Source organism: Homo sapiens, chromosome 6 (assembly GCF_000001405.40).
Source record: "Homo sapiens chromosome 6, GRCh38.p14 Primary Assembly".
In the NCBI taxonomy this organism is placed as follows: Eukaryota; Metazoa; Chordata; class Mammalia; order Primates; family Hominidae; genus Homo; species Homo sapiens.
The window spans coordinates 54,856,736-54,880,975 of NC_000006.12; the positions used below are offsets into that span (position 1 = coordinate 54,856,736).

Consider the following 24,240-nt stretch of genomic DNA (forward strand, 5'->3'; position numbering starts at 1 on the left):
CATAAAGAGAAAAGCACTTTTTTCAGTTGTGATACAGCTGTCTAGGCAGGCTTGATTACAAGTGAATCCTAAGGGAAATGACTGATAAAGAATTGGTAGGTATTGGGATTATTTTTAGATATTCTGATTATTTATATGGCTCTTTAACCAAGTGAAAACTAAAAGCTTTCCAGGCTAGATATATTATTAATATTTAATATTATTTGGCATTCGAACTAAATAAATTTGTGTCCACTTACACAATTGGCACAAAATTATTTCTGTTTTTAACCCTCTACTTTATAAGCGTCTGAGACTGCTTTTCTGCCACTAAATGTATGTAACAATTTTACTTTTTATGAAAAGCTGTTCCTAACATAACTAAACAAAATACATTTTCTTAAGACATTTTATTTATAGACTTTCGCACTATTTTATAGTTGAGGCACACTACCCTTGTTAAATGTATTTGGGAAGCTGTTTTAAAAGTTGGTATTGGAACACACATTTATCATTTTTCCTACAGCATTTACTCTGCAAATGTCAGCATGCACCAAGAGTGACTTTATTGGCCTTAAATAGACTCAGAGGTGGGACAGGAGGGCACATGACACATTCAGCATTTCACTCCATGGGGCTCTTGTTGCCTGTGGTGTTTTTGTCTAAATATGTCTTTGTTGTAAATTATACTACATTTCTGAAACTGAGGTTGAACGAGACTGAACCCTGCTTCCCGTGGTGTTCAGGGAATTATGTATGAGTGTTGTGAAGTGAGGAGGAGGAGAGTCAAGGTGAATAAGTAAGGGGTAGGTCGACAGATCTCTAGTTATTTCTCCTTTATAATTATACCGTGAGGGCAGAACTGAATTTACTTGTAATGTAAGAGAATAGGTCTTATCCAAGACAGTGATGATACCTAAAATATGGAATAACCAACATGATGGGGCCAGTGGTAAATTAGAATATACAGACTCAGTGGCCTTTAAGCAGCTGTTATTTTACTGAAGGGGGTACAGGAAATAGCACATAAATAAATATTTTACTTACTTCACATAATAAGTGTTATAAGTTAGAGCAGGGTACAACGATTAAGTATGGCAGAGAGAGTGGGCACTCTCTACAATGGGTAGTCGGGAAGACCTCTCAGAGAAGGTGGCATATGGATAAGATAGAAATGAAAAAAAAGGAGCATTCCAGGTGGATGGAACAGCTAGTGCAAAGATCCTAAGTTGGAAATTAACTCAGGATGTTAGGTGTAAAGAAAGAAAACCTGTTGGATATCCAGGGAAGAGGTCCACAAACCAACTGGATATGTGAGTCTAGAGGAGAAGGGAGCAGTGAAGTCTGGATGTTTGCAAGTCATTCATGGATGTAAGACTGGACGGGATTATTCTGGGAGAGTAAAGAGAGAAGAGCGAAGAGAGATGGCAACTCCCAAGTCCAAACCCTGATAACAGGAAAATCAATAGCTTTGATGACACTTGAGGAAAATTCTTAGTCTTCTGCATATCTCAGCAATGATTTTCAGATACCATTGGCACTAACAATAGTCACTATTTAAAAGTCATTTCCCCCACCTATCCGACATTTTCAAGAAAAGGAGATCCTCATCTTGTTGTAAGTTTTGCCTACCTTTAGAGTAGAGTGAGGGATGCATTCTTCTTGAAAAAAGAATCTAGATTCATATTTGGATGACTTATTGGATGAACTTAAGCCTTACACTGTTCTGTTATATCAAGTTGTAAAATATAGACTTCAGCTTCCCAGGGACTGCTCTGAAATATATAGTTACTTCAATTTCACCTTATTGATATATGAAATATACATAACCATAATTTATTTAAACAGCCAATTAATCTTTTCTTGCTATTGAAATAAGTTTATATAATAACAAAACTGATACCAGAAACACAAGAAAAAATGAGTCATGCTTTATAGCTAATTTGTATCACTATTTGTGTTGAAAACACAAGACTTAGTAATTTATTTTTTTATGATTAATGAAAATGCCAAGAATCTGTTTGCAGAATGACTTTAACATAATAAAATAATGAAAAATGCAAATTTTATGGAGAATCCCCAGAGACACTTGATACCACCTTTCTTCTTCTGACAAAGTTCTCATTTGAAATTAATATTTATGTTTTTGATATAGATCTATCCATTTACCTAATCACTTTTACAGTACTCAGCGCATTTCTGGTTATTCTTTCTGAAGCCCTTTATAAATGGGTAATATTTTATATTACCAAAAACCTAACCTCGATTTAACATAAGCAAATATATGTTCAGATATTGACAGTTTCTGTATGGGCATTATAATTCCTCCCCCGACACCGTGCCCACCCCCCAGCCCCCAGCACTGAGACGGAGTCTCACTCTGTCACCCAGGCTGGAGTGCAATAGCGTGATCTCAGCTCACTGCAACCTCCGCCTCCCGGGTTCAAGCGATTCTCCCTGCCGCAGCCTCCTGAGTAGCTGGGATTACAGGTACCCACCACCATGCCCAGCTAACTTTTGTATTTTTAGTAGAGACTGGGTTTCGCCATGTTGGCCAGGCTGGAGTCCAATTCCTGACCTCATGATCTGCACACCTTGGCCTCCCAAAGTGCTGGGATTACCAGCATGAGCCACTGCACCCGGCCACGGGTATTATGATTTTTTTTAATTTATTTTTTAGCAGTCTCTAGTTTAGACTTTAGTCAACTCTCACTCTGTTACCTTCAGTTATTAAGGCAGTATATCATTAGCTTATTTAACAATTATGTACTTACTGAGCATTTAGAATTGTACTAAACAGACATAATCTCTGCCATCATAGAGCTCACAGTCTAGTGGAGAGGGTAGAGTATGATGCATTTAAATAATGCATGAGAAGGGATAGCATGTGTTAGGGATTACTGTGGGAGCTCCTTTCAGTGACTGTTGTACTAGCCCCCGAGTGTTAGGCATGACACTGTGTGTCAGTGAGCTACTTACTAAGCCCTAATTAAGTACATCTAGTTATTTTAATTTTTTTCCTTTATGGGTCTGTACCCATATGGCTTTAGTTTGGATATTCTGTACTTGTTCATGTGTTGCTCTATAAGAATTATCAAACTTTGATATGCAGGGTTTTGAATCACCAATTACAGCCAACAGTCTGTGAATGAGAAAAGAAGTGGTTATTGTAAACTCAAAAATAACTGTTGAGGTACTTCTTTTAAAAAATCTTTCCCCATTGCAAAATAATACATATTCATTGATAAACATTTGTTAAATACAGAAAAGTGAAAAGAAGCTTCAAAAAACCACCTGTAGAACCACTACTCAAAGAAAACCACCCTCATTGTGTGTGTGTGTGTGTGTGTGTGTGTTTTCCTTTTGTTTTTGGGTGAATTTTCTCCAATTATAATTTTGCTCTTATATAGTTTTGTAGCCTGCTTGTTAGCTACATAGCATAATAACAAGCTTTTCTGCATGTTATTAAAACCACTAGAGGCAGCTTTTAACAATCTTGTTTTGTTTTTGCATTTGAATAGTGGTGTTGATAATGTTGCTTAGTTAACTTAGAAAAAAAATGAAGCTGGAGAGTCTGGGTTGGTAAACACATTGACTTGCTGAGACAGGGATGTGCTTAGAGAGAGCATGAAAGCTCCTCACTTCCTCTATACTCCTATACCTTGCCCTATGCATTTGGCTCTTCCTGAGTTGTATCCTTTATTGTATGCCATTAAAAAAATTGACAAGCTGTTTCTAAAATGCAAAGGGACTAGAATATCCTAAAAAAATCTTGTAAGAGAAGTACAAAGTGGAGAACTTACATTAAGTAACTCTAAGACTATTAAGCTATAGTAACCAGGATTGTGTGATACTGACATATGTATCAATAAAGAGATCTATGGAACAGAAGAAAGAACCCAGAAATAGACCCTCCTTATATAGTTGTGTCACATTCAACCAAGGCGTGAATCAATTCAATGGGAAATAGAATTGTCTTTTCAGTAAATAGCCCTGTAACAACTGTATTATGTGTAAGTGTGTGTATAAATATATGTACATAATCGTATCACACCCCATATACGAAAATTAATTTGAGATGAATCAAAGACCTAATACTTAAAATCTAAAACTATAAAGCTGCGTAAGGAAAGTGTTTCATCAAAATGTAAAACTCTCTTGTGTACATGTTCACAGCATGTTAACCACAGACCTCCCTGAGCGCTGACTCATTGCTCTGCTTATCCCTGACCCTCTCCAGGACTTGAGGATATTGTGGTTGTTCATGTTATGGTCTTGAACTCATGACCTCAGGTGATCTGCTTGCCTTGGCCTACCAAAGTGCTGGGATTATAGGTGTGAGCCACCATGCCCGGCCATGGGTTTATGTTTTCTTAAAATTTATTTTTTAGTAGTCTCTAGTTTATACTTTAGTCAACTCTCACTCTGTTACCTTCCGTTATTAAGGCAGTATTTCATTATTAATTTGAGATGAATTTGAGCAAATCTTTCCTAAGATGAGAGTTGAATATTTCATTCTTTAAACTGCATCAAAATGTCCCAGTAGAGAAGTGGCCTAGGCCGGGCACAGTTGCACATATCTGTAATCCCAGCACTTTGGGAAGCCAAGATGAATGGATTACTTGAGCCCAGGAGTTTGAGACCAGCCTGGCCAACATGGCAAAACCCTGGCTCTACCAAAAATACAAAAAAATTAGCCAGGGATGGTGGGGCGTGTCTGTGGTCCCAGCTACTCAGGAAGTTGAGGTGGGAGGATCACTTGAGCCCAGGAGGTGGAGGTTGCACTGAGCCAAGATTGTGACACTGCTGACAGAGGAAGACCCCACCTCCAAAACAAACAAACAAAAAAGAAGTGGTCTCATAAAATGAGAGGAATGGTCCATGATGTGGTCTCTTGGGTTCTTTCTGGCCCTAAATGTCATTTCAGTTTATAAAATGATGGAAGAAGCAATGAATCCCAGGTAAAATGGCCCCAAATCTAGTTGGAGTGTTTCCAGACAGAAAGGTCCAGCTGCTTGTTCTCACTGTCCGATAATGAGATGCAGACAGACGGGGAAAGAAGGGAGTTTATTTCTGCAACCGGTTACAGGGAAAAGGCCTGAGTAACTCACCGGACCAACTCCAAGTTACAAGTTTTTTTCTAGTGCTTATGTACGTTTTAAGCCCCATGCCTACCTGTGGGAGTGCACCTACAAGCCGGAGTGTTTCATTCAATCTATATCTAATCTTTAACTAGAGTCTGGAGTCTGGAAGGTTTTCTCTAGAGTCTTGGAAAGTTTCTTAAGTGGGCCCTGGTACAAGGTATACGTGTAAGAATGCCTTTATTATTCAATCAGACATTAGGGTCTAAGAAAACCCAGGTGGGGTCATAATGGGTTTGTTTTCGTATTCCAGCCGTTGTACTCAGGCACCAGTTTCCCCAGTTCTTTAATGTTTAACTTCTACATACATCAGAGTTATAATAGAGGATTAGTAGAAACTGACTCTTCTAGTGGCTAATGGGAACCTGGCCTGCCACAGAAGGCCACGGGTTTTGAGAGGCTATAGATCTATTCAGATTATATGACCAGTCTGGGCTGAGCACAGTGGGTCACAGGAGGAGGGGAACAAAAGGAGAAGGTGTAGTCCAGCCTTTGAGCAGCATCAGGGTATAGTTGGAGTGATCCAAGGCACACCCTAAAAACAGTGAGGGAAGTAACCCTTGCTGAGGAAGCTAGGACTGTGGGAAGGACACTAGATGGCAGTTAACAGACTTGAGTTCTTACCCAGGATGTGACTTTCAGTGTGTGGCCCGTGGTGGACATTCGCTTCTTCCTCCGTAAAATGAGAGGCTAGATGGATCAGCAAGTGTTTCTTCTTCTTTTTTAAAAACCTGTCATTGGCCGGGCACGGTGCCTCATGCCTGTAATCCTAGGACTTTGGGAGGCTGAAGTGGGCAGGTTGCCTGAGCTCAAAAGTTCAAGACTAGCCTGGGCAACATGGTGAAACCCCATCTCTACTAAAATACAAGAAAAGAAAAATTAGCCGGGCATGGCAGTGTGTGCCTGTAGTCCCAGCTACTTGGGAGGCTGAGGTAGGAGAATCACTTGAACCTGGGAGGTGGAGGTTGCAGTGAGCCGAGATCGCGCCATTGCACTCCAGGCTGGGTGCAAAAACCCCCCCCCAAAAAAACCACGAAAAAAAAAATCCACCTGTCATCTTGTTTTCATTAATTAAATACTTTTTATTGGTGCAAAAAAATAAATAAATGAAGCTGCACTTTGAAGGGTGATTCTGGAGAAACTGGGAAGAAGAGTAGGAGGCGAGTTCTTGTCACTCTGGTGTAGGAAACCACAACACACCTCACTGCTGAGCAAGCTTATGAACCTCACAGATCTTTTGAGCGGGCAAAACAAATACTATTTTGGAATTCTGACATGAAGAAAGTCTCAGAAATCCAAGTTGTTATCCTATAGGACCCTCTCCAAAAATGTGTCCTCTGCTTAATTATGCACATAAAGAGGGGTTTCAGTTAAAAACAACACAACAACAACAAAAACCCAAAATAGAGGTACCAATTCTGTCTTTATGCAGCTTTATTATTAAATAAAACTCCATCTTAGATTATTACCTAACAGTTTTTAGCAGTTTTTATGGCACATGTACACTTGAGGGCCTTTGTCTCATTTAGTCCACATAGAAACCCTTCGGGTCAGTACAGTTATTTTACCCTTTTTCCTGGTGAGCACCATGAGGCTTAAGGCCCTTAAATAACATGACTGAAGTTTTACAACCAATAAGTTTCAGAGTAGAGGTCGAAACCTGTGCCATCTTACCAACTATGCCGCTGAGCCAACCTGTGACTTCTCCACTTCATATAATTGAAGACTACCCTTTAGTGCATCTCCTAGTGTTCTCTTTGGACTAAAAGTTCCAATTTTTCAACTATTCTTCATGACATAATGGGCTCCAAACCCTGCCTAATCCTGTGTGAATGTAGTTAATTTTTGATATAAATTAAAACCTCCAAATTTATTGCACTTGAACTTAATAATGTTCATGTTGATTTATTATTTTGCCACTTTGTCACTATTTTACATATCTGTTTTGGCATCTAACATGTATGTTTTTTGTTGATTTCTGCAGATTATATTAATGTGTCTCTATTTATTCATCCAAATGATTACTGATCAGGGCCAGAACAAGAATACGTCACTTTGGTATGGCACAAGACACAACTTTATCAGGATAGCCTTGTAGTTTAGATGTTGGTAAAATAATAATTTAATTTTATTTGCATTTTTAAGCCATGTATAATCCTTTGGAATTTGAGCATTCAGTATAAGCTCTCTCTGTAAATGGTTTATTTTTTCTTAATGAATTTATTTACAGGAATTATTCAATAAATGCTTCCAAATGACATTGAATAATTGTGTTTTAATGTCATTAACATGTATTGGGTATTTTTTTCCCCCAATATCTAAAATTCCTGTAGTTTATATCTAAGAAGGCAAATAGCAGCCAGTACAAACAAACCCTGGAATCATATTGGTATGAAAGTGATATTGCTATCCCCTCCCTCCAGTTAAAGTAAATTGAGGAAATTAAAGAATGAGTAGGTATTGAGCAAATGGGATTCCCATTTGAGATTTAGAAAATGAATTGGAAGTATGTTTATTGTTTTTATGAGTTTGATAAGATGGGTGATTCTACTGGTAATCCATCTGTGGAGATGTTTGCACCCAACACCCTGTGACTGAGTGCGTCATGTATTTATACTTTCTGTGACCTGCTGAATATCATGCCGTGCAGATGACTGTAATCTGTGCTATTGGGCCATGTTGTTATAAGTATTATTATGAAGCCAGCTTAGAATTTTTTAATGAGTTTGGATGTCAACATGAGATATCAAATTGCACTTGACAGCTTGAATATTATAGTCAATTTTTAATTTAATAGAAACTTCTTTCATGTTTTAATTGTTATCTTAAATTTCTGGTAATCAAATGAGAAGACAAACAATCTTGACAGCTGAAGAAAGAAAAGATATATGATTTTCAACTGTTGTGGACCATGGGTAATGATTTTATATGAAAGAGATGTTCTGAAACAATCCTTTATGAAACATTTTCTTACATTATGTAGACAGACATTTTGATACATATCATAAAGTCAATTACCAAAAGAAATAACAAATTCAAGAATTTTTTCCCTCAATATATGAGAGTTTGCAAAGTATTTCTTAATAAAATTGCTTAACATTGAAGTTATATCAGATAACTAGTTTAACTATATCATTTAAGCTGCAAAAACCAATCATTTCTAAATGGTAAATTTACTTGGTAATTTAAGTTTATTTAAAAATTTTGAAGGTTTCAAAATAAAAGCATTTTTGTACGCATTTGTATCAGCTGCCTAGTGCAGCTGTAACGAAGTACCAAAAATATTGGCTTAAAACAGCTGAATATATTCTGTTATGCTTCTGAAGTCTAGATGTTTGGAATCAGAGTGTCAGCAGGGCCATGCTCTCTTTGAAGTGCTCTAGGGGAGAATCTGTTCCATGCATTTCTCTTATCTCTGTTCTTGTAGGCAATTCTTGGCATTCCAGTCTCTGCCTCTGTAGTCACGTGCAGTTCTGCCTTTGTGTCTGTCTCTGTGTCCCCTCTCTCCTTATAGACACAAGTCATATAGTCATATTGGATTAGGATCAGCCATGGTCTAATATGACCTCATCTTAACTTGATTACATCTGCAAAGACCCTATTTCCATGTAAGGTCACATTCACCGGTAATGCAGGTTAGGACTTCGACATATCCTGTTGGAGGATGTAGTGCAACTCATAAAGCATTCAATACTTGGAGAGAAACAGCTTAAGAGAGAGACTGGAAAATGGACTGCAGTGATGTTAGCACCTGTGATATTTTTTATATTTGTTTCAGTCAAAATTCTGACTTTGGTTTATTGGCTTGCACATTAGGTAATTATAGCCTCGGACTTTTGATTTAAAAAAGCTGTAATTTCTCTTTGGAACATTTTCCCACTGACCTATTACATCAGAAGCCTATTCAATGAATTCTCTCAGGTCAGAAACTAGGAACAAACTGATACTAGGTTTGGTTGTTTTATACTGCAGATGATTAAATAGTTACAAATTGTATGATATTGCTAATGGTATGAAAAAACATCTCTTTTCAAATCTTAAAATCTCTTATCAAATTTATTACATATTTATAGTAATTATACTATAGCAGATTGTGAACATGTAAAATAGTCATAATAATAATAATAATAATAATAATAATAATAAGGTTGAAATGCATTACCTTATTTATTCCTTAAAATAACCCAAGAAGATAAAGACTGTTGTTATTCTCCTCTCTACATCTGCCCAAACTGAGGCTTGTGGACGTGTGTAACTTGTCCAAGAGCTTCATAGTAATTGATGAAGCAGAGTTTTAACCTGGCAATTTGACCCTACAGATGAACTCTTATCTTGTGTGCTATAGGTTTTTTTTTTTTCTATCTAAGTCTCATGACATTGCTCATCAGTAAGATTTTTTTCATTAAACTTTTTATTTTGAGATAATTGTGGTTTCACATATAGTTAAGGGCAAAAATCCAGAGAGATTCTTTGTATCCTTTACCCAGTTTTCCCCAGTGCTGCTGTCTTGCAAAACTATAATACTGTATCGTAACCAATATGCTGATATTGATACTGTCAAGATATAGAATATTTCTATAACTACAAAAATTCCTCTGATTGCCTTTTTATAGCCACATCTACCTCTCCGACTGTCATTTTAAGAGTGCAGCATCTAACCAAATGGAATTATTCAGCATGTAAACTTTGGAGATTGGTGTTTTTTCATTCAGCATAATTCTCTGGAGAGTCATCCAGGTTGTTGCATGTATTAGTAGGCCATTTATTTTACTGCCAAGTAGTATTCCACAGTATGGGTGTACCATAGTTTAATATTCACCTGTTGAAAGACGTTTGGGTTGTTTCCATTGTCAGGCTATTATGAATAGAGCTGCTATAAATATTTGTGTACAGGATAAGTTTCAACTTTTCTTGGATAAATCACCAAAGTGCAGTTGCTGTGTTGTATGTTAGTTGCATGTGTCATTTTATAAATGAAACTGCCAAACTGTTTTTCCAGAGCAGCCCATGAATTGAAAGCAATTTTTATGACTTATTTTATATCCTTTGTATTTATAGAATTTCAGTGGAATTTCTACTTGATACAAATGACCCTAAAGCTCAATATCAAATGCAATTTTTAATTTTTTTTGAGGCATGGATTTGTAAGGCCACTTTTTTTCTGGAATGAGTCATTTAACTGTTAGATAAGCCTAATGGTCTGCTCAGCTTACATGGCATAGTGATATCTTTTTTTTTTTCTCTACTCATTAACTCTACTGTGTATGATAAAAGAATATGCTTCCTGGGAGTTTTTAATAGTTATTAATAAAATAATTCCTTATTTTTTATATATATATTTAAAGGCACACCTAATTAATTTTGTCCTCAAATAAAGCCCTCCAAATGTTCAGGGATTGAACTGCTGAGAGTGCTTTATTAAGTCTATAATTAAATACAGGTGATATTTAATTGCAATACTCACTATGCAAGTGCCATTACCCTGTAGTTCTCTGATAAAATTCATTTATAGATGGTTCCTTCACAAGTATTCCATGCAAATAGCTCTTATGATAAATATCTCTAAACCGTGGCTGGAACATAGCCTCTCCACCAGAACAATATAAAGTATATTTAGTAGTAATCTTAAGTCTTGTACATAATATTGTAACCTCATTGTTCATTCTGTTGTATGTTTTGTATAATATATTTTTCTGTGTGGTATCTGGCTATCGATTAGTCCTGTAATGGTAATTAATTATAAATAAGTTTCACTTCTTATTTCCAATTTTTTTCTTCAGATTAATTTATCTATGTTTTCATGGTTTGGTTTTCATGGTCCTTTCGAGGTCTGTGATTTCAGAGTTTACATAGTTCCAGAATGAATTTTTTACAGTTCCAAAATATTTATTTGCATAGGTGTAGCTCAGAAATAGGTAGTATTTTAAAAGTACTTTATGCATTTTAACTTCCAAATAGGTAACAGGTGTTTAACATCACATATATAGGAATTCAAAAGTTACATTTTAAAAATTAAATGAATAGGTTTGCAGGAAACTTGGATTATGAACAACTAGTAGTTACCTATGACTTAACAATTACAAATTACAGATGTAATTTATCATGTAATCACCAGATACTTGTTCCTTCATTGGCTGGAATTTTCAAGTGAAAACTGTACTTCAATAAACCTTAGGAAACTGTAAGCATAAGGATTGAGTCTTTTAAGTGAATGCAAATCTTATTTTTTAATTTTTTTTGCTAACAATGAGCATTATGTGCAAAAGAGAACTTCAATGAGTGTTGAAAGTTATTAATTAGTGGCATGATATCATGAATATGAAGTGAGCAACTTTATGAAGATTTGTCAACCTTGGCACTGTTGACATTTTGGGTGGGATTATTTCTAAATATGGATGGCTGTCTCATGCATTGTAGTATGTTTAGCAGCATCCTGGGTCTCTAATCATTAGATGCTAGTAGCCCTCCTCCGCACAAGTGATTCTATTTAAAAATGTCTCCAGATGTTGTCAGATGAGGGACAAATCTTCCCTTTTGAGAACCACTGAACTTGAATGAAATGTGATTGGGAAAAAGATGACATATCCTAGAATGATTGAGAAATTTATGAAAGTTTTAGGATGTATCCCAATACATGTCAATAGATTAATTTTAATTAAGTAACAAAAGAAATTTTATTTCCCCATGCGATAGCTTTTATACTAGCAGACAAGATGGGTGTTCTTCCTTTTTCTCTTGGAGAAGAGAATATTTTTGCAAAACTTCACCATTATACTATAGGGCAGGAAGACTGCCATCACCAGAATTCAGATGCTGCCATCCCCAAAGTTCAGATGCTGCACTGTGGAGCCTAGGATCCAGGTATAGTTCTAGTTGTCTGGGCTTGGATCAAATTATGACTCAAGCTGAGGGCTTTCCAAAAGACAGAAAAGAACATGTTCTATTTTTATTCCTGTATCATATTTAATCTTTGGGCTTTCTGTACTGTTAGACTTTCTTTGTAAAACTTCTGAGCCCAGAGATAGGAACAGGATTGTCTCCACTAAGATGGTAAATGGAGGCACCCTTTGTGTTCCATGCTCCAAGTTATCTTTTTAATGCTTATAGCACATCATAAATCTGTACCTTGAATCCACACAATGGAGATCATGACTTCAAAAGACTGGAAAGTCCATCATCTGATTGAGAGAGCCCATTCCAGTATCTCACACAGTGTGGAGTAGTGACTGAATGATTGAATGGAGAGCATTCTGTGGGCATTGTGAGAGATGGAATGTGAGCCTGCATAGGCAGATTTTGACTCCTAAGAGAAATTTCTGAATTATCTTTCATGTCTTAAATTTCATCTCGTATACTCTGTCCAGTCACTGAATCTCAAGGCTCCTTCCTTAAACCATCTCTGGAATACTCTGTCCACTTCCTCACTGCGTTTTTGAACACTGAAACACTCTCCTAGCTACCTGTCTCTTCTTCAGTCCCCTGCTACTGCCAGAATTGTTTCAAACAGAAGTTTTGTTGAATCACAAAACTTTGTGTCCGTCCATTCTTGGCTTTATCTTGTCTATTCAATTTTATCTCTTACTCCTGTTAAAAGGAACCTGTTTTCCAGCATGCCAGGTTTTTTTTTCTTTAATTTTTTTCTTCCTTCATAATTAGTGAATGTACCAAACTCTCATATCTCTTCCGTGATTTTGCTCATGTTTTTATCCTTGTATGGGATGGAAATATTTCTTCTTGCCACCTGATCAGATTCTTACTCATTGCTCCGGGTCCAGCCGAAGCCCACCTCTTGCTCAGGGCTGTTCATAACTCATTTGCTCCATATTGATCTCTACTTGCTTTTATTCTTAAAGCACTGAATATAGGCATTACTCATTTTGGCCTTTAGCAATGTATGGCTTTCTTCAAAGTGGTAAGTAATGTTTTTTGCGTACAATTTGCCTCCTCAACTAATTAATAAATTCCTGAAAGACCAGTGTTTTGTGCTCTTAACATTACATCTAGCATATTCTGTATGCCTGACAGGTACTCAGTAGAGACATTAATGGCTGGGTAGGCATTGATTGTTTTCTAATTCTCTTTTAATTTAAATTGAGATACCTTGGAAAAGGAAAATCCAACAGCAATCTGTAAGGGAAATCTGTGTAGCTTATTTGTGATAGATGTGTGAATTGTGGTGCTATTAATGTCATTTTGGATATGAAATATGTGTCATTTTGAGCTTCTGGTAATGGAAATGTGTAAATGAAAAAATAATAGTTGATATGTATCATAAAACATTCTGTTACCGAATTTTAACTTGATCTTGATTTTCTTCTTTTCAAATACCAGATACTTCTCACCACTGCATGAATGGACATTTGAAAGTGCCATAGCCAAACACTTGCAAGCATGGAGACCTCATCAATGCTTTCCTCATTGAATGATGAGTGTAAATCTGACAACTACATTGAGCCTCACTACAAGGAATGGTATCGAGTAGCCATTGATATTCTGATTGAACACGGGTTAGAAGCATACCAAGAATTTCTTGTCCAGGAACGAGTTTCAGACTTTCTTGCTGAGGAAGAAATTAATTATATTTTGAAAAATGTCCAGAAAGTTGCACAAAGCACAGCACATGGTACTGATGATTCCTGTGATGATACCTTATCTTCAGGGACCTACTGGCCTGTTGAGTCTGATGTGGAAGCTCCAAATCTTGACTTAGGCTGGCCATATGTGATGCCCGGACTCTTAGGGGGCACCCATATAGATCTCCTTTTTCATCCACCAAGAGCACATCTACTTACGATAAAAGAAACTATTCGGAAGATGATAAAAGAAGCAAGAAAGGTAATAACATTTCTATTTTGAAATGAAAAATTTGAAACATGTAGAAAAGTAGAGAGAGTAATAACACAAATATGTATGTTAATAAAAGAATCTCTATATGTATAGGCCATGCCTATTGTTTTTAGGAAAGTACCTATGGATACACAGGAAGGTTGTATTTCCTATATCTTGCATATATCCAAGAGAGTGGCATTAGGTCTCTGCTAAAGAAAAGAGATTTCCTTTTCTTAATAATGTACTCAGGAGATCTCTTCTCCCAGAAGACTGAGGTATGTTGACTAGGAATAAGATTACTCAACACTCATAATTTTAAAGCACCTAAATTTTTCTTCTTCTCTGAAAGGAAGTAGTTGGTGGATATGGTGAAGTTTTCTTTGTTTTTAACAGGACTGAATACCAATTCTTGCTCTGAATGTGCTTTATGCTATTAAATAAACCATATGTTTACTTATCTATTTTCCTGAGTTGTGTGGAAACAGTATAAAATCAACATAATAATGTAAAATTCTAAAGCAAGATTCTGAGATATTTAGCATTTTAAGGCTTTGGTGTTCTTTATCAAATATTTATATTGACTTATACATCTCACAGATCTTATTTTAGAACTTGGGTAAAACTGTAGGACTCTTTAATCAAGCAACAAAAGTTATTAAGAGTTTTGTATCTACTCAGCACCATGGTGGGCACTTTGGAGACTACAAAAAAATTTGCCAAGCTCAATCTAGAGTTTTAAAATGTATGGGCAAGGCTGGGCGTGGTGGCTCACACCTGTAATCCCAGCACTCTGGGAGGCTGAAGCAGGCGAATCACTTGAGGTCAGGAGTTTGAGACTACCCTGGCCAACATAGCAAAACCTCGTCTCTACAATAATAATAATAATAATAATAATAATAATAATAATAATAAGCCGGATGTGGTGGCGAGTGCTTATAGTCCCAGCTAGTCAGGAGGCTAAGACACGAGAATTGCTTGAACCTGGGAGGTGGAGGTTGCAGTGAACTGAGATTGCGCCACTGCCCTCTAGCCTGGGTGACAGAGCGAGACCCTGTCTCACCAAAAAAAAAAAAAAAAAAAAAAAAAAGTATAGGCAAAAAGTTACAATTTTTAATTATAAAGTGTGCATTTTTTAGTTATGACTATGTGATACAAAAATTTAGATCTAAAAGGAACCTTAGGAAGCACACACGCATGACATTGCTTTCTTCTATGCCAATAAGACACAGAAATGCTTGCAAGAGTATGCTTTTATGAAGTACGTCAATATAAGACCCTTGAATTCCTCAGTGACATGGCAGTTTGCAAGACAGGCAACTAAAAGGCTAACAATAATGTAGAGAGACACAGTGTTCTGAAGCTAATGTCAAATGCAAGCTTTGTAAAAATGAGGTAATTTTTTTCCCTAAACCTTTTGAGTTTAAATAACCTGTCTTTTCAGCTGTATTAATTCCTTTAACAGTATTATATTAAATAAAGTACTAATCCATTCCAGTTGTTAAAAATTAGCTATAGAATCAGGCTCACTGTAAGTGACCAAACTTTTATTGAATGAATTGAACTGTCATTCAGCTTTCTGAATTGAACCATGAATATTTTTTTAAACAGCGCTATCTTAGGCCTTGTGAACAAATTATACAATTGCATTTTGTAAGGCAACAGTACAAAATTTGAGGCTATATGTGAGTCTTTGTAATGGCAAAATAATAAATATCAAGTATTAATGTTTGCTGATTTTGTTTGGTGACATGATATGCTTTTGAAGCACAATGTTAACAGGAAATTGAAATCCATTTTTGAAAATACATCAGTGAAGATGAAGATTCTTATTGTAGTAACTTAGTAATGCATTTATCACCCTGCGTGATAGCTAGTTTCCTTTGGGACATTGCATTATTGTGATACAAAATGTTAATTCAGGAGATATCATAAGTTTTTGGGCTAGCACCCACTGGGAACCGAACATTAGTCATGATCTTTTGATGTATTTTTCTTTCTAATGTGGCAGCTTTGTATTTAATGAGCCTCTAAAAGTAATATCTTCTACCCGGTCACTGTCCGTTGAGGACTCCCACTTGAATTAGCGAGCTGAAGAAATTGAAGTCCATACTGTAAAACAGTAATGTGATGTGTGCTTCTCTTTCATAAAATCAATGTGGCATACAAATAAGAAAGACAATTGCATCTTTTTTCTACTTGTATAGCTATAGCTAAGTTGAATTTGAAAGAAGAGAATTATTTGATCTTGTAAACTGAGTATACTGCCAAATATAAATTATAACAGACGACTTCGATTTGGTGCACATGGTTTTTGTTTTTAATTTTATTTATTTTATTTTTTTTATTTTTTGTTTTTAACACAGAGACAAGGTTTCCCTATGTTATCTAGGCTGGTCTCAAACTCCTGGATTCAAGTGATCCTCCTGCCTCAGGCTCCCAAAGTGCTGGGATTATAGGCATGAATCACCACACCCAGCTGTTATTTTTTAAGGTGTTAGGGACTGTGCTAGTTTCTACCCAGATGCAATAAATATTGAAGTCAAATTGGTTATCTTTGCATGGAATATGTATTTCTCAATTATTTTGGAAGATTCTTTATATGTCGCCATATCTACTTAAAGATTTTTGAAGAATTAAGTAATCTGGGGAAAAAAGTTATTGACCCCATTTTTAAAAAATTAAGATTATTTAGCTTATAACTGGACATGGTCCTGTGAAGAATTTTTAAAAGAACAAATATGAAATAAAAGCTTACCAGAACACATTGCTTTTTAAAGATTAAATGTGGTTTTCATGACTATCATTTACTCAACAGATGTCATGCTCTTATTATCTTTCAGAATCAATGGGAGCCTAATAGTCATCAGGATAAGCTTTCTGTTTTTGAATTTTTTTCAGAGGGTAATTTATCTTTATTGGTAACTCAGTGAATTGTCATGGCATTGTAAAGGGATGATCTTTTTTTTTCATAAAGTATTTGGATAATGTATATTTTAATGGATAAAGTTTTTTTTTTTTTTTGCTTCTAAATATCTCAGGGAGAATCTTTTGGTAATAAACACTGTAAAACTCTACAGAGATATGAAGCCAAACCAGTAGGACTAGACACCGTCAAAACAGAACCCAGGAAAAGATCTCAGATAAGAATTTAAATCCATTTTCACTTTTGTGTTTGCAGTTGAGATAAGGTACTTGTGAAAATAATGCCATTTTATGGAAAAATCTTAAACTAATGAAAATAATATAAAAGTTATCTGCTTAAAGGCCCAAACATTTGAAGTCTGATTATAAGCACCAAGTTAACCTTCCAGTCTCTTATGAAAGGAATTAAAAATGATTCTCAATCTCAACTGTCTTTACTGGAAAGAGGTGAAACATTTTGTGTTTGTTTTTGAATTTCAGTAATTTATATGCTCTCATTTCTAGCTTAAGTTATATAGTTAAATGAGCTCTTGATCATTTTGCTTTTATAAGCAGAATGTGATCTTTATAGTATTTCAAAAATCTATACTTTTTTACTTATTAATTTTATTTTTGCTAATTATCACTTAGAAATTGATTAGATATTTTTTGTTTATTTGTTTTGTTTTATTTCTTTCTTTTGTATGTTTGCTTATTTTGTTTGAGAACTTTCCTTTGGGAAAATTCAATTGTAGATAATATCTTACTTGTGCCCTAAAGGGACATATTTTAATTTACTGATTCTTTTTTTGAAACCCTTTCTATTTTTCACTTTGTGATTGACATAATTACATTTAGGTCAGACTTTACTTTGCAAAGTCTGATAGTGTCTAGCCAGACTTTTCCCAGGTAATTATTTGTCTGTCAAGAAGTGTTCCCAAGATGATATATGCACATATTCCTAATTACTGTGAACTCCTCTTATGAAAACATCCCCTCTAATTACTTAAAAAAGTCTTCTTTCATTAAAGTTTTTTTTTCCTAGCCACTCAGTGGTACGTATTTACAAAGTTATAACTTCTGAGAGTCTTGAATATCTGAATGTTTAACCACAATGTTATTTGCATCTCTGTTTCCTAATTCTAGGCTAGCTTTTTTTGTGAGATGTGAATCTTACTCTTGTGAAATATGGGATCAAGACACATAAGCAAAAGTCTAGTGAGAATTAGGACAGAGTAATTCCTGATGCGCTCTATACCACATTACCTGAGTTCAGGGCTTGGTTCTTTACTGAGTCACTTACTGAGTTCCTGGGTGTGTCTGTTATGGCCTTGGGAGGTATTAGTAATATAGAGAAATATTAACCATCAGTTGGCCCCACAGATGCAAAGAGGAAGATGAACAGGTGATGGGGAATCTTCTTGGGAGTGAGCTGATATTATAAAAGTAGAACTAGAATAGAGACTTTGTCACCAGGACTCTAACTAGCGTGGCATTAAACAAGTCATTGTACCTCCTCAAGTTTCTTCATTTATTTAGGAAAAGATATGAAGCAAAAATGTTTTCACATTTTTTAAATCTGGTGTTCCTATCCAAATCTCTAATACTGCTTACCAACTTAAGATTATTTTGATATGTTATATTCCTTGTTGAATTAGTTCGTGATAGAAATGATTTTTATTGTGTCGTGATATGTTACTTTCATCCGCATCCCTTTGCAACCATGTCCTGCCCAGCTAAGTGTTATTTATATGTTTATCTGTGCCTTCATTAGACTAGAATGGTCTCTGTCCTGATGTTCCTAATTTTTATTAAGAATTTCCTCTCTACCCTATCCCTGTCCCAACTCTCACCGTGAATTTTGTCATTCTTTGAATTTGAGTCAAAATTGATTTCTTCTTGGAAATAATATTTTGCTTAGTCAAATTTAATGACATTACTATCCTGGGACATTAAGTTGAACATTTCTTCTGTGAATAAAATGCATTACATGTTAATATATATTTATGTTTGAGTGTGTATGTTTGAGAGACAGGGCATGAGAGGAGAAGGACGGAAAGAGAGAGGGAAGAAGAGACGGAGGGGAAGAGGGAAGGTGGAAGAAAGGGAGAGAAAAGAAGGTGGGGAAGAAGAGGTGGAGGGGAAGAGGGAAGGTGGAAGAAAGGGAGAGAAAAGAAGGTGGGAAAGAGACAGGAGAGGAGGGAAGGAGAGAGAAAGAAAAAGATCTGGTTAAAATTGCACTGACTTCATCCTGCCAACAATTGCTGTGTCTGTATGGCAGTACTCTGTCTTTAACAAACTCGTGGTGCTATACAGAGAGACAACACATTCTATATCTATTTTATGTTTGTTGAAGCAAAAAATTAAAAAAGTATGAAAAAATGAAAATGAAATTGTTATATGAGACTTCCAACTTGGTTGCACACCAAAGTCGTCAGTAACTTAGAAATTTCAGATGTTTTACTCTGCAGTGTATTATCAGGTAAAGTCTAAGGATCCTCAGTGACTTGTATTTTTAAGAGACTTTATTTAAAAATTGACAACTGAGAAAAGAATTTAGCTTTAAAAAGAAAAAATACAGTTACTTATGGGTGTCAGTAAGTTTATCAGAGTCTTTGCATTGCTAATACTAACCAATACCTCTATTAATAGTTGGAAAGAAATAATTTAAAATGCAAGTTATTTAGGAGTGCATATATATATATATATATATATATATATATATATATATATATGTTTTTGTTTTTTTTTTTTTTGAGACAGAGTTTTGTTCTTTTGCCCAGGCTGGAGTGAAATGTCACAATCTCGGCTCACTGCAACCTCTGTCCCCCCAGGTTCAAGCGATTCTCCTGCCTCAGCCTCCCTAGTATCTGGGATTATAGGCACCCATCACCACGCCCGGCTCATTTTTGTATTTTCAGTAGAGACAGGGTTTCGTCATGTTGGCCAGGCTGGTCTCCTGACCTCAGGTGATCCACCCGCCTCAGCCTCTCAAATTGCTCGAATTACAGACATGAGCCACCGCACCCTGCTGGAGTGCATATAATTTATTTGATTGGGAGAAATGTTTTTGAGACTATTTCCTTTAGTCAGCTATTACTCTTTAGTATTTTTAAATTCTCTCTCTCTCTCTTTAAATATATATATATAAAATAAGCAGTGAGAAACAATTTTTGTAGGTACTGCACATGGTGTGTATAGTCCTCTGAGCTTTGAGGTAGTGTTACTGACTATGGTACAAAATGTAGTTCTATATATTTGGGGATCTCTGAAGTAGAATGTTTATTTTTTGTGATTGTTTATGTTTACTCATTCTTTCCTGTCTCTGGTTTAAAATAAAAACCAAACAGTTACTTATTGAAATGTGTAATATTTTCTGATGATACACCTTTAGTAGTTTGTTGGAATGGCAAAGCTAATTGTCATCATAAAACCTTGTCATAAAATACTGAGAATTCCTAATGCCTAAACACCTAAATTCCAGAGGGGTAGAAATTAGCAGTTTTACACACTCAGATGCCTTCAGGGCTAAGCCACAAAAATAACTGCAAAAACTCTGCAAAGGAGAAAGGGCAGATGGTAGTCCAATAGGGAATGAAAGGAACATGGAAGAAGAGATAACTTGACCAGACTTAAGGCATTCTTTAGGCATTTGTTATAGAGGTGATAAGCTTAGGACCTTAGGTACACATTGAGGCATCTTATCAAAAGTTAACTTTCATGAAAATAAGGGGATATTACTTTACTTGTCTGTCCTCTCAATGAGATGTAAAAAGTCATGAAGGTTTGCCATGGGAGCCTTTTTGAGATGATGAGTGCTGACATTTTGACACACTGACATTTTGCATTTTAAGGATTCTGCCTGCTGTCTTATAGTTGCTACAGATCCATCATGTGGCATATATTTTTATATCAATTATTGATTTATTTAACTAGTCACTCTTCAAATTATCTTGTAAAAAGTTGGGCGACTTTTATCCTAAGGACTGGAACTCACATCTGATTTTGAGTAATGAATTTATATTATGCAATTTAGTAACAATATCAGGTAACATGTATTGAGCACTTACATGTTAGGCACTGTGCTAAGCACTTTACATGCATTATCTTAAGTTGACCTTCATAGTAACCTTGTGAAGTGTGTCCTTTTATCCACATTTTACTGATGAAAAATACTGCGTTCACGTGGTAGGTTGGTCAGCGGTAATGAAGCAGAATGAAACCAAAATGCTCATAACTAGAAAGTGGTAAAGATTACATATTCCTAATCGGAGGTGTTTGAAGACCTGGTTGAGAGGGTCTAAGATTGAGATCAGTGGGTGTAGATGTGGAAGCATTGATTTCTAAATGAGTCAGGTAAAAAGTATCATGTGGTTGTTATTAGAAGTCAGAAGTCACTCACCTGGAACTGACAAAAGTTAATGATAAGTAGATGAGGTGCTAGTACCCAGAATGTAGACCAGGCCAGGAGGCACTGAAAGGAAATGCGTTTCTGAGTTCAAAGGTAAGGTAAATTTGAAGCAGGAAGAAAAGGAGAATCAGGTAATGAAGTTGTCCTTTGGCCTCTGCTGGGTTCAGCTATGAGGGAAATCAGTAAGTCTTTGGCCAACCTTATAGGTTAAAGGTATTGCAGGCCATTTATTCATTTAGCAGTTATTTTTTTAGTGCCAATGATGTATCAGATACTATTCTAAGTTCTGAGAATACATAGGTGATTAAAGTACCAAAGAAACCCTGCGTACCCTTGAATGAAGTTTACCTACAAATGGGGTTAATCAACTAATAAATAAGGAGTGCTAGCAGGAAGAAGCAAAACACAAATATGGTTGAGTAAAGGGAGCTGAGAGTGGTGGTGGAAGGTAGTTTGCAATTTTAAATAGGGTGCTCGGAGTAGGCCTTAACAAAGTGACATTTCAGCCAAGATTTGAGAAAAGAAGGAATAAGCCATGCATGTATTTGTGGGCAGAACACAGGAGACATAGGGGAAGCTTTCTTGTTTTTTAGAAGAAGAGCAGAGACCAGTTGTTGGACCCGACAGCAAAGAGGAGATGAGTAGAAGATGCATCAGAGAGGAAACATGGAGGCTAGATCTTGGGGATCCCCACTGGCCATTTTAAGGAACTTGGCTATGATTCCTGTAAATCAGGAATCTACAGGAGAATTTTGAGCAAAAGAGAGACATCAATTTTAAACCTGCTATATTTTAACAGTATACTTCTGGCTGTAATATTGAAAATTGACTGTAGGGGACTAAGAATGAGCATATCAGATATTACTAAAATAATTCAGGTGTGGGGTGATGGTATCTTAGATGGTCAGGTGGTGGCAGCAATGGCTAGTTTTTAGGTATATTTTGAAGGTAGTGAAACATGGGATGTGAAATAGGTTGAACAACATAAGACGACTTCAACATTTTTTGCCTGAGCAGTTGGAGTGATGGTATTGTCATTTGAGGTTGGTGTCAGAGGCCCCAAAGTTGGGATCAGGAAGCAGGCATAGAGACTGAGTTAAGGGGACTTTTAAGTTACGACTTCACCATAGCCTTTGGATGGTTGATCCGTAACCCCAGTCACTGACATCTGGCAACACACATGTCTAAGTATCTCTAGATGAGGGTTCACATTGGAACCCAAATAGACTGACTTGGAGAACAGTCCTGACCCTGAGGACCTAGTTGTAAGTAACTTGGATAAGATTCAGATGCAAAGGAGTGGGTAAATACAGAATATGAGATAAGAACATGACGGATTAGATGCTGTCCCAGGACCTAATAAAACAGGAGATTATCTACCCTGCTGAGAAGCAGAACCTCCCAACACTTAGTCTTTTCAAACAAACTTTTACAGGCAATTATTTCGCAATTCCTTTATGCTGGGTCAGGTGAGTGGAAGAAGGAGAAACTGGGAAGGGGTCACGTAGGAGGTCCCTTTTTTTAACAGGCCATTTAGATGGATAGTTTTGATAAGTAGGAGATGTATGGTGGAGAGCTGGGCATTTTCAGACAGCGGGGGAGCGTGAGAGAAGTAGAGTAGGGTGGAAAAAAAGGAAAGCAGAGTTGTTGAGAGAGGTTGATTACGGCCAAATTGTGAAGGTCCTTTGATCAAACCTTGTGGAAGAGAATAGTGGGAAGTCATGAGATGTTTTTTAGTGACAGTGATGTTGTGAAATCTGATTTTGGACATAATAATATTGTGTTTTGGTTAGTTAACACATACAGAAGAATGTAAGACAGGTTGTAACAGGCGTTGGGATAATGGTCAGCAACAAGCTGACAATAGGCTGAAGCTGACGTCCAATAGCAAACAAAATGTCTTTTCAAGGGGAAAATATATCTTCAATTTCCTACTAGAATAGAATGTAAATGTAACTACTTAATTCTGAATCTTAAGGAAAGTCCTTTTTTGTTTTAAAGCTATTTTTAAGATGTCTTAATCATCTGATTTTAAGCTAATAAAATTTATTTCTGTACAAAAAAAGTTTTAACAATCTACATATAGTTTAAGTCTACCTATGCTTATTGAGTCCCAGCTATGTGCAAGGCACTCTGCTAATTCATACAGATGGGGGGAAAAGCCCACTTCAAGTGATTTAAAGTCTAATATTTGAGGGATATGGTAAAAGATTCATAGGAAATATATAGGTAAAATCATGTGTGCTTATGGGCATCACCCGAATGATCTCTGTGTTATATGGGATCTGGATTTTTTTCCACCTGTTTACTCTTTAAGTATCAGGATTATAGAGACAATTATTGAAATTTTAAAGTAGCAAAAATATGATACAGATAAAATACCTCCAAAATATTTATTAGCAAATATGTTTTACTAGTGCGACAAATGTATATATAGAAGGTTTCTTTTTTTTTTTTTTTTTTTTTGAGACGGAGTCTCGCTTTGTTGCCCAGCCTGGAGTGCAGTGGCATGATCTCGGCTCACTGCCACCTCTGCCTCTCAGGTTCAAGTGATTCTCCTGCCTCAGCCTCCTGAGTAGCTGGGATTACAGGTGTGCGCCACCATGCCTTGCTAATTTTTGTATTTTTAATAGAGACAGGGTTTCACCATGTTGGTCAGGCTGATCTCAAACTCCTGACCTCGTGATCTGTCCGCCTCGGCCTCCCCAGGTGCTGGGATTAAAGGTGTGAGCCACTGCGCCCAGTCGAAGGTTTATTTTTTATTATTAGGGTACATACATTCCTTATAGTCAATATGGAAAAATTCAAGAAAGGGTTAAGAAAAGGCAATCATAATCTCCCAGTAGAGATAATCACTGCTATTGATGTTAGAAATTTTCTTACCTATTAAATAAATAGAGACATACATGTATACACAAGTGAATGTGTATGTGTTTTGATATCTTATATAAATCCCTGAAATAGAAGATTCAGATGTGT

General features: G+C 36.2%; 1 protein-coding gene across 5 annotated transcripts in view; it reads left to right on the forward strand.

The window, feature by feature from the left end:
- Positions 1–24,240, forward strand: part of FAM83B (family with sequence similarity 83 member B) — a 98,897-nt gene that overhangs the window by 10,533 nt on the left and 64,124 nt on the right. For 4 of the 5 annotated variants that reach the window (XM_017010478.2, XM_006715022.4, NM_001010872.3 and 1 more), the window contains exon 2: positions 13,452–13,955. In XM_017010478.2, the coding sequence (XP_016865967.1) occupies positions 13,512–13,955 (444 nt within the window). In that variant the 5' untranslated portion in view covers positions 13,452–13,511. Of the gene's footprint in view, positions 1–9,261; positions 11,982–13,451; positions 13,956–24,240 lie in introns of those variants that run through there. The other variant, XM_011514395.3, reaches the window with a different exon arrangement.